Consider the following 11,753-nt stretch of genomic DNA (forward strand, 5'->3'; position numbering starts at 1 on the left):
AATGTGACAAACAAGGGTCATGTTTCAGCACTGTTTGTGTTATAGCTATTTTAGCTCCGCCATTCAGCAGGTCTCCAGGTCTTGTCCTGCGACCAGGAAGAATGATATATGCAGACAAGTGAAAGGTGAACAAGATGAAGAGGAGCTTTACTGAGAGATAAGACAGCTCAGAGGAGACCCGCAGTGGGTAACTCCTCTCCATAGCCAGGGTGTCCTGTTGAGTACTGAGCTCTCAGCAGAGAGGGCAGCTCCTCTCTGCAGGCAGGTCATCTTGTTGTCTCTTCAGCTCTCAGCAGAGAGGGTAGCTCCTCCCTGAAGACTGGTGGCCCACCCCCCAGGCTTCATCCCCACCCCAGCTTGCAGGTGGGGCTTCATTGGGAACCTGCTCCCTTCCACCCAAGAGCCTGTTTGCCTCCTGGCATTGTTCATGGCACCCACGTTATCCATGCCAAGGAGTACCTGCAGGCCAGTGCCAAGCTGTCCTCAGCCCCACTTCAGCCTCCTCCCCATGCTTGTCAGCCTCCACAGTCCAAAGGGGGCCAAGGGGCTGGCATGTCAGCACTACTCCAAGCATGCACACATGCAGCTGGGATGCGAAAGTGCTGAGAGAGAGACAGTGCCCCAGGTTGTGAACTGTGACGGGAGCAGATGCTAACAGTGAGGAGAACACAGACAGTGGGAGCAGGCACTTCCTAGCCTGCAGGGACAGGGGTGCATTCCTGGGCCCCCAAGAGTACAGAGATTCCTGGGTCCACAGCTGCAGCTTGGGTGGCTGCAGCTGCACTTGGGAGGGCAGGGCTCCTGCCTACTCTTGGCTCCCAAGAGCACAGGAGTGCCCTGGTAGCAGCCACAGCTTGGGTGGCTGCAGCTGCACCTGGGAAGCTCCCACTCTACCAACTTTCTGGCTCCATAAAGCATGCAGCCCTGGCCATACCACTGGTCTGCATTTTCCCCTTAGTGGCAGCAGGCAAGGTGCGGGTGGCTGGTGGCCTCAGCCAACCCCGTGCAAACAAACCCAATGCTCCTGGGGCCACCCCAAGAGTCCTGGCTGCACTATCAGCTCACAGACTCCTGAGACGCAGCAGACAGCGAGGTTGAAGTCACGGCGGAGGTTCCGGGCCTGCAGTGGGTCCTGCCCAGTTGTGCAAGGGTTGGGGTGGTGCAGTCAGCTGCCTCAGGGATGTAGGGCACAGGGGACCCACCATGACCACTGCTGCTCCCACAGCCACTCCTGCCACCACCACTTGTGCCTCCACACTGCAGCTGGCGTGATAACAGTGGCTGCTCCAGATGGCACACTGCTGCCATTAGTATCGTTTTCCTTATGCCTGAAGGACATCCCTTAACTTTTCTTATAGTGCAGTTCTGCAGGTAGTAAAGTCATTCAGCTTTTTCGAGTCTGAAAACTTCTTTATTTCTTCATCTATTATTCTCTTTTTGATGACCGTTAGTTAAACCAATCCATTGAACTTTCCATTTCAATTATGATACTTTTCATTTCGTTTCCACTTGGTACTTTCCCCAATGTATTTGTTTATTTTCATGCTCAAGTTATTTCAACTCCTTTGTTTCTTTAAGTATAAAACACACTTTGTACTGTCTTTGCTAACTTGACTGTCTTAAGTTTTTGCAGGCCTGCTCCTTCTGTCCATTGTTTCTGGTGGCTCTTGCCAATTTTACATTTGTGATTTTTTATTGTGAACTTATATTCCTTGAAAGTATCTCAGAGTTCCTCCACAGACAATCCATTTTGCATCTGTCAGTCACCTAGAAGGCACCAAAAAGCTGATATTGCGGTAAATTTGAAGCTTGAGACATTTTAGACCACCCAGGTTGTGTGAACAAACCAGTTAAAGGGCTATATACATACATATATATATATATATATATATATACACACACACATAAAACTCTCAGGGGAGATGTTTTCTCTCAGGATACCCAATGTTCCTCACTGTTCCTAGGGAAGCAGGGGTCAAGGGCAGCATACAGGGGGAGGCGGACAGGTTTATTCATAGTTCACCCTTACACTAAGTCTGTCCTTTTGGATCTCACTTTATGATGTCTCCTTTTAGCCCCTCCCACTTGGCCAGGCCCTCAGCTTTGTCTGCTGTTCTGCTGCCCCTTTTCCACCTCAGGCTGTGAAAAACAGCAAAGTTTAGTTTGACAGGCAAATATCTTAAGGGTGAAAAGTGGCATCAGTGCCTTAGTTACTTCTTTGGGTTTCACTTCCATTTTAAAACTTTTTTAGCTTTTTGGAACTCTTATTTTGTAGCTCATTGACACATTTTTAAGAGGTTCTTGATATGTATTCCAGAAGCTTTAGCTGTTTTCAGCTGGTCCTTATCAGCCCTACTGTTGGAAATAAAATTCTTTCAACTTGTTCTTTAGCAATGTACAGGCTCCATAGAGCTCTCGCTGCTCCTGAGGCAATAGGGTAAGAACGCCACTTAGGAATCAGGCTGGCCTGAGATCAAGTCTCAGATCCACCAGCAGTGTGACATCAGTGCCTCGCTTTCTTTATAGGGTTGGTGATATGGTTTGGCTCTGAGTCCCCAGCCAAATGTCATGTCGAATTGTAATTTCCAGTGTTGGAGGAGGACCCTGGTGGGAAGTTATTGAATCATAGGGGTGGACCTCCCCCTTGCTGTTCTTGTGATAGGGCTCTCATGAGATCTGGTTGTTTAATACTGTATAGTAACTTCCCCTGCGCTCCTGCTGTCCATATGAAGATATGCTTCCTTCCCTTTCACCTTCCGCCATGACTGTAAGTTTCCCTAGGCCTCCTCAGCCATGCTTCCTGTACAGCTTGTGGAACCATGAGCCAATTAAACCTTTTTTTCTTTATAAATTACCCAGTCTCAAGTAGTTCTTTATAGCAATGTGAGAACAAACTAATACAGAAAATTGGTACCAGAGAAGTAGGGCATTGCTACAAAGATACCTGAAACTGTGGAAGCGAGTTTGGACTTAGGTAATAGGCAGAGGTTGGAACAGTTTGGAAGGCTTATAAGAATACACGAAGATGATGGCTGGGCATGGTAGCTCATGCCTGCAATCCCAGCACTTTGGAAGGGTGAAGCAGGTGGATCATTTGAGGTCAGGAGTTCAAAGCCAGCCAGGCCAACATGGTGAAACTCTGTCTCTACTAAAAATACAAAAAAAAGTTAGGCGGGCATCATGGCACATGCCTGTAATCCCAGCTACTCAGGAAGCTGAGGTAGGAGGATCATTTGAACCCAGGAGGCAGAGGTTGCAGTGAGCCAAGATTGTGCCACTGCATTCCAGCCTGGATAACAGAGTGAGACTTCATCTGAAAAAAACAAAAATGAAAACAAAACAAAAAAACAGAAGACAGGAAGAAAAGTTTGGAACTTCCTAGAGACTTGCTGAATGGTTGTGACCGAAATGCTCATATAGTGATATGGACAGTGAAATCCAGGCTGAGGTGGTCCCAGATGGAGGTGAGGAACTTATTGGGAACTGGAGTTTGCAGTCACTCTTGCTATGTTTTAGCAAGGAGATTGGTGGCATTGTGCTCCTACTCTAGGGATCTGTGGAACTTCGAACTTGAGATGATTTAGGGCATCTGGCAGAAGAAATTTCTAAATTTCTAAACAGCAAAGCATTCAAGATGTAACTTGGCTGCTTCTAACAGCATATGCTCATATGCATTCACAAAGAGATGATCTGAAATTGGAACTTATATTTAAAAGGGAAGCAGAGCATAAAAGATTGGAAAATTTGCAGCCTGACCATGTGGTAGAAAAGAAAAACCAAATTTCTGGTAAGACATTCAACTCAGCTGCAGGAATTTGCATAAGTAAAGAGGAGCAGAATGTGAATAGCCAAGACAATGGGGAAAATGCCTCCAGGACATTTCAGAGATCTTCACAGTAGCCCTTCCCATCACAGGCCTGAAAGATTAGGAGGGAAAAATGGTTTTGTGGCCTAGGCCCAGGACCCCACTGTTGTGTACAGCCTCGGGACATGTCACCCGGAATCCCAGCTGCTCCAGCTCCAGCTGTGGCTAAAAGGGCCCCAGATACATCTCAGGCCACTGCATCAGAGGGTGCAGCCATAAGAAGCCTTTGTGGCTTCCATGTGGTTTTAAGCTTACAGGTGCAAGGAAGGCAAGAGTTGAGGCTTGGGAGTTTCCACCTAGATTGTAAAGGTTGTATGATAATGCCTGGATGTCCAGGAGGAAGTCTGCTATAGGGTCAGAGCCCTCATGGAGAGCCTTTACTAAAGCAGTCTGGAGGTGAAATGTGGGTTTGGAGGCCCCACTCAATGTCCCCACTGGGGCACTGCCTAGTGGAGCTGTGAGAAGAGGGCCACTGTCCTGCAGGCCAGAGAATGGTAGATCCACTGAAAGCTTTCACTGTGTGCCTGGAAAAGCCACAGGCACTCAATGCCAGCCCATGGAAGCAGTCACTGGGGCAGTACCCTGCAGAGCCATGGGGCAGAGCTGCCCAAGGCCTTGGGACCCCACCCCTTGCATCAGTGTGGCCTGGATGCACACCATGAGCAGTAATGGGAAAATTCTTATTGAAAAAGGCAAGAACAAATCAGCCCAGTGAGATGAATTACATGTTGCACTCCTTCCTGGGATGGAAGAATTGAACAATGATAGGATCTTCTACATTTCGGTTTTTACTTTACTGACTCATGGGCAGTGGCCAATGGCCTGGCCATGTAACCAGGAAGAGGGGCAATGGCAAACTGGGCTGTGAAAGGATCCCCACATGGAGCACAGCACTGCAGGAATTTAAAGGGCACATTAAAGTAGGTCATGTCAATGCCCACCTGAAGAACCCCTCCCAGGATCAGTGATCAGATCTGGTAGGTGGATATCCTGGTGACCTTGAGGTGGCCACCTGGGCTTAATGAAGGAGTGGACACAGGGGAGCTGCAGCCGTGCAGGGATGGGCTGCTCAGCAACAAGTCCCTCCTCCACCCTCAGAGGCACCAAATGCCAACAAGAACTGTCCTATCTGACAGCAGGAAGACAGAGACCGCAGGTGGCTATGGGGCAGGTTCCCAGTGGGAAGGCACCACTCATAGCTAACAAGTAGATTATACCAGACTGAAGCCAGTATCCCTGGGAGGCTATAATGGGTCCTGACACATTCTCTGGACTGGGCTTTGCATAGTCATTAGATTCAAATGCCAAAAATACCATAAAAGAACTGGAACAGATGATAAGACATCAACTTGGACCACCAAGTTTTATTTCTTCAGGCCAAAGAACACATTTATAGCCCACAGTGTCCTATAATGGACATACCATGTTGCATATTGTCTTCATCTCCTAGGGCTGCCATAACAAAGTGCCACAAACCATGTGGCTGACTTACAGAACAAAATGCACTGTCTCACAGTTCTGGAGACTAGAAGTCTGAGATCAAGTTCTTGGCAGGGCTGGTTCCTTCTGAGGGCTGTGAGAAAGAATCTAATCCACACTTCTCTCCTAGCTTCTGGTGGTTTGCTGGCAATCTTTGGCATTCCTGGGCTTGTAGAATTCTGCCTTCATCTTCATATGGCATATCCCCTGTGTTATCTCTGTGCACAAATTTCCCTTTTTTATAAAGACACAAATCATACTGGATTAGGGGGCCCACCCTATTACAGCATGACCTCATCTTAACTAATTACATTAACAACAATCTCATTTCCAAATAAGGTCATGTTCTTAGGTACTGGGGGTTCTGAGTTCAGCATACGAATTTTTTATTTAGGGTAACATATATCCCTTTTTTCAGTTTTTATTGTGTTAAAACACACATAAAATTTACCATCTTAACCATTTTAAGTGTACAATTCAGTGGTATTAAATACATTGATAATGTTGTACAATTATGCCCACAACCCATCTGCAAAACTCTCTTCATCTTGTAAAACTGAAATGATATTTATTAAAACCTAACCCCTACCCCCTCCTCCCAGCCCCTGGCAACCACCATTCTAACTTCTGTCTATGAAGTTGATATTCTAGGCCCCTCATTTAAATGGAATCATGCAGTATTTGTTTTTGTGACTGGCTTATTTCACCTAGCATAATGTACTCAAGGTGCATCCATGTTATAGCATATGTCAGAATTTTCTTCCTTTTGGAAGCTGAATAATATTCCACTGTATGTATGTATATGTCAGATTTTGTTTTTCCATTCATCCCTCAATGAATGCTTAGATTATTTCCACTTTTGGCTATTGTGTCTAATGCTGCTATGAACACGGGTGTACAGATATTTCTTTGAGACCCTGCTTTCAATTATTTTGGTATTCCACCCAGAAGTGGAAATGCTGGATCATAGGGTAATTCTGTTTCTAATTTCTTGAGGAATCACCATACTGTTTTCCATACCAGATGTATGGTTTTATATTCCCACCAACAGGAATATAAGCATTCCAAACATGAATTTTGTGGGAACATATTTCAAACCATAGCAGTCACCAAAAGCTCAAGCAACAAAACAAAAAATAGATCAGTTCAATTTCATTAAAAAGTTCTCTGTTTCAAAGTCGACATGGTTTGGCTGTGTCCCCACCTAAATCTCATCTTGAGTTGTAACTCCCAGAATTCTCATGTGTTGTCGGAGAAACCCAGTGGAAGGTGACTGAATAATGGGGGCAGGCCTTTCTTGTGCTATTCTCATGATAGTGAATGAGTCTCAGGAGATCTGATGGTTTTAAAAATGAGAGTTTCCCTGCACAAGCTCTCTCTTTGCCTGCTGCCATCCATGTAAGACGTGACTTGCTCCTCCTTGCCTTTCATCTTTCACCATGATTGTGTGGTCTCCCCAGCCACATGGAACTGTGAGTCCAATAAAACTCCTTCTTTTGTAAATTGTCCAGTCTCAGGTATGTGTTTATCAGCAGCATGAAAACAGACTAATACAATGGTTACATAAGAAAATAAGGACAACCACAGAATGGGACAAAAACTTATAAGTCCTATATCTGATAAGGAACACATGTTCCAGATGATATAACCACTCTTACAACTCAATAAAAAGAAAACTCAATTTAAAAATGGGCAAAAGATGAATAGACATTTCTTCAAAAAGATGAAAAATGGCCAATAAGCATGTGAGAAGGTGCTCAATAACATTCATTATTAGGGAAATGCAAATCAAAACACAATGATACACCACTTCACCCCAACGAGATAACTAAATTCAAAAGACAAACAATAAGAAGTCTCAGCAAAAACAGGAAACTGGATAAGAACCTTCATTCAATGCTGAGGGAATGTAAAATCTTGTCTGTTGTGGAAAACATTTTGGTAGTTTCTCAAAAATTAAAACAGAGTTATCATATGATCCAGTAATTACACTCCAAGATATATACTTAAAAGAAATGAAACCACACAAAAACGTATACCTGAATGTTCACAGCAGCATTATTCATCAAAGCCAAAGTGGAAACAAGACCACTCAAGCCAGCCCTGCCTCGGAACCTGACAAAGTTAAATGGAAGCCTACAGAGCTGAGCTGCATTTCCATGGGAGACATTTTGGTCATTCCAGGTGATGATGAACTACACCAATTGTTAGTGGCTGAGAAGAACCTCAGGAATGTGCCAGCATCTTTTGACTTTTATTTCAGGGGGCTGCATCTACTACCACAACATGCAATATGGGTAACACTGGCATGGCTGGTTAGATTTGAGTACCTCATGTAAATAAGTCATGTGGTAATAGTGATATTGATGATCAAATGTATTGGGAGATTGAGTTAAGGTCTCCTCAGGATGTAATACCAACGGAAAATGAATCTTTAGAAGAACTATATTTAGTTAACCATCACCTAATTTCCAGATAAATAGTTCTGCACAGGTCATATAAGATACAAAGAGCAGTATACCAAGGGGGAGGATGATCTTGGGGACTCCTGAAATATACTGTAAATAACCCAGATATCCTCCAGTAAATAAATGGATATACAAAGTGTGGTATACATACATATGTACATACAGTGGAACATTAGTCAGCCGTAAACAGGAATGAAGTACTGATACAGCCTACACAATGAATGAACCTCAATAAACCGTAGAATCCTGCTAAGTGAAAGAAGCCAGTCAGAAAAGACCAGATATTGGATGACACATTTATATAAAATGTCCAGAATAGGCAAATCTAGAGACAGAAAGCAGATTCATGGTTGTCAGGGGTTGAGGGAAGGAGGAAATGAGAAGTGATTAAGTGAATTAATGCATGTTAACACCTTAAACTTTGGGCAACTGCCCAATCACACAGACAGTGCAGTCTCATTCATGCATTACATGACAAAACAAAGAGAAAAGCCTGGGTAGAAATACCAACATGTATATTATGAAAAATATAACACCTAAATAAACAGAGAAACTATGTTCCTTAATGAGCAAATTCAATATTATAAGGTTGCCAATTCTCCTCCCATAGTTTCTCAAAAGTTGCAATGTAATGCAATTTTAATCCAAATGGCATGGTTATCTAGACAAGAAAAAAATTGATTGTAAAATTTATATGAAATAATAAAGGTGTGAGAACTGCAAGGAAAATTTTCAAATGGAAAATTATTACAGGAGAAAGGAGTGTGGAGACCTTGCTCTGTATGGTAGAAGTCAAAGACAGCTACCGTCAATTCTTTCCCTTCCTCAACACACATTGCTTCTCAAGAGGTGAGGAATAGCTCCCTTCCCCTAGAATCTGGCTGCCTTGCAACTTGCTCAATCCATAGAATATGACATAAATTCCATTCTGGGAATTCTACTATTGGATTTTTTTTTTTTTTGAGATGGAGTCTCCCTCTATTGCCAGTCTTGAGTGCAGTGGTGCAATCTCAGCTCACTGCAACCCCCGCCTCCCAGGTTCTAGAGATTCTCCTGTCTCAGCCTCCCAAGTAGTTGGGACTACCGTCACACACCACCATGCCCAGCTAATTTTTGTATTTTTTTTTTTTATTGGAGACGGGTTTCACTATGTTGGCCAGGATGGTCTCGATCTCATGACCTTGTGATCTGCCTGCCTTGGCCTCCCAAAGTGCTGGGATTACATGCGTGAGCCATCGCACCTGGCCCGATTTTTTTTTTTTTTTTTTTAAAGAAACTGAAGCCTCTACTTCGGTCTCTTGGTAGCCTTGCTCCTGGGAAGCTCTTTCTTGAATCTAGTCACCATTCCATTCCACCAGGCCACATATGTCTTCTCCAGGCAACAGCCAACATCAATTGTCAGCCGTGTAAGTGAGTTTCAGATGACTGTGGCCCCGGCTAATGTTTGACTGTAGCACATGTGAGAGGCCCCATGCAGAAACCCCTATAACCATGGAGAGCAGTCATCCTGCAGAACCATGAGTAAGTTAAGCTTAGGGGTGGTTAATTATGCAGAAATAAGTAAACAGAGCACTCCACCAGGTATTAAAGATTATTACAAAGATTATGTAATTAAAACAATACAGAACAGACCAGGGTTGACTACAAGATCAATGGGACAGAATAAAGTTACATATCCAATGCCTGCTGCTGACCACAGGGATTTGTCACAGATCTCATCAGTTAGAAACCCTACAGTGGTTTCCCTGGTCACCTTCCAGTCACCACTACACCTTGGCTCCTTTTAGCACGCCTCCCTAGGTTATCACTATATGAAATTGCTTTATCTCTTTGTATTGTCTGTCACCTGCCACCATAATGTGAATTTCTAGACCTCCATAGCATGCAAAGCTCTAGAACAGTTCTTAGAACACAGAAGGTGCTTGACAAATATTTTCTGAAAGAAAAAGAAGATACTTCAATACCTCAGTTTACTAATGAGGTGGGGCTACCATATGGCTGCCTGAACAAATACAGCTTGACATTCACTTTCTTGCTAGTGATTGAAGTGTATTAACTTGTGTACTCACACAACTACCCTACGGGGTAGGTGCCCTTATTTCTCCATTTGGCAGAGAGGGGCTAAGTATCTTAACCAAGGTCACACGGCTTTCAAGTGCCAGAGCCAGGACTCAGATCTACATAGGTCTGGCTCCAGAGCCCCCAGTCTAACCTCTTAACCTCTCTGCTTTACTGGGCTAAACCTTCACCACCTATCATATGGAAAAAGAAATTCAATAGAAATTTATATGGAAAAAATACAACTCTGTGTTAATATTAAAAAATCCATAGTAACATGTACAATGAGGAAGCTTCCTCAAGCCCAACTATACAGGTCAGATCGGTTGAAAAAATAAAACTAACACATTTTTACATGTCAAAATATGCAATATTTGAAAATCCAAGGCTAGTATCTTTAAATAGGCAAAGATTTATTAATACTCCTTGACACACAAACAGGAAGTGAGAAAATGGGCAAGTGACACAAATCGATAATTAACTGTGAGGACATAGGTGGTGGAGTCTCTCCTAATCCTCTATTCTTGGAGATCTGGATGCCTGCCATTCGCGTATGGGAAGAACAGAGACGGTCATGGAAAACAGCATTTAATCTAGAAAGGACCACAATGAGGTCAAAGGGCGGTCTCAGGGCAGTCTTAAGAGCTCCCCATCCCCAAAGAACTGGCAAGGACTCTCCAGGTGCTCGTATGCGACTGCTGCCCAACTCCCATCACGAACTCAGAAGACCTGTCATTTTCTGAAATTTTCATGACTTCTAAGACACTAGTTACTGGGGGAAAACTTCAAATTATTTAAATTATGAGAGGCGAATAACATTGCTAAACTCATGAATACTCTGTATTTAAAACCTCTACTGGCGATCAGGGCACATAGAATCTCTACTACTGATCCCTGACGCTGGCCATCCCCCAACCCATCGGCCCACGGACCCCAGCCCTGACCCCACCTCCTCCCAGCATCTTACACAAGGATTCTCACCACACTCCCCAGAGACTCGCCTGCCCAGGGCCCCTCTCTAACCCCATATAGCTCAGGTCTCTGACCCCGAGACAGCATCACCGACCTCTCCCACTACCTATTTCCAGATTAGAGTCCCTGATCCCAGAGGCATTGTCTAAAATAACTAGCTCTTACAACTACGTCCACTTCAGGAACCGCCCTGTGATGTCAGAACTTTGAGGCCGCCCGGCCAGGGCTGCACATGCTCAGTGAGGCCGGCGCCCGCCAGTAACAAACATGGCTCCCTGAAGCCACTCAGGCTCAAGAGCAACATGGAGGTCTGCACTTAATCGCTCCTCTCCGGGGGCGGCCATACTGAGGAGGCATCTCTTCCGTGCAGGCAGGCTGTCCTGGGGACCTCAGAGATTCTCTCCAGCGGCAGCGGAAAATGGGCAATGGGTGGATTCGGGTCCAGATTCTGGCAGGAGGGAGTTTGGGATCGAGATCTGGAAAAAAGCACTAGACTGGAAGAGGACGCGATGGAGTCGGAGCCGCTGGCGGGGACAAAACCAGAGGCGGTGGAAGGCGCCGGTGGGAGGCAAGGCACGGATGGACTTTACCTGCGCACGCGTCGCAGCCATCTCCGCGCACAGTGGTGGCCACCGCGACTGGTGCTGAAGTGTCGGCGCGTGCCGGGCGCTCCGCTGGGACCGGGGTTGCTGGCCCTGAGTCTGAGCTTTCTCATCTGTACGGTTGGGACAAGTACAGTAACCCTCGCCCGTCAAGACGGGCCAGGGCTGTCGCGAGGGTCCACGCCTTAGAGCAGGCACCTATCTTCTGCAGGGCCCTGAGATGGGGTCTGACTCAGTTCCTGCGGGGAACTTCACCAGTACCCAGTCAGTGCCCTTCAGTTAAAGACCACCAGGAGCACACTTGTAATT

The 11,753-nt window shown here is 45.2% G+C and overlaps 1 long non-coding RNA gene across 1 annotated transcript; it reads right to left on the bottom strand.

Moving 5' to 3' along the window:
* Nucleotides 1-10,262: 10,262 nt before the first annotated feature.
* Nucleotides 10,263-11,753, bottom strand: FAM88E (family with sequence similarity 88 member E). The gene is made up of 2 exons (NR_126050.1): nt 11,433-11,753; nt 10,263-10,463 (listed from the first exon to the last, which is right to left on the bottom strand). It is a non-coding gene; the product is annotated as a family with sequence similarity 88 member E (long non-coding RNA).

This window comes from Homo sapiens, chromosome 9 (assembly GCF_000001405.40).
Source record: "Homo sapiens chromosome 9, GRCh38.p14 Primary Assembly".
Classification (NCBI taxonomy): Eukaryota; Metazoa; Chordata; class Mammalia; order Primates; family Hominidae; genus Homo; species Homo sapiens.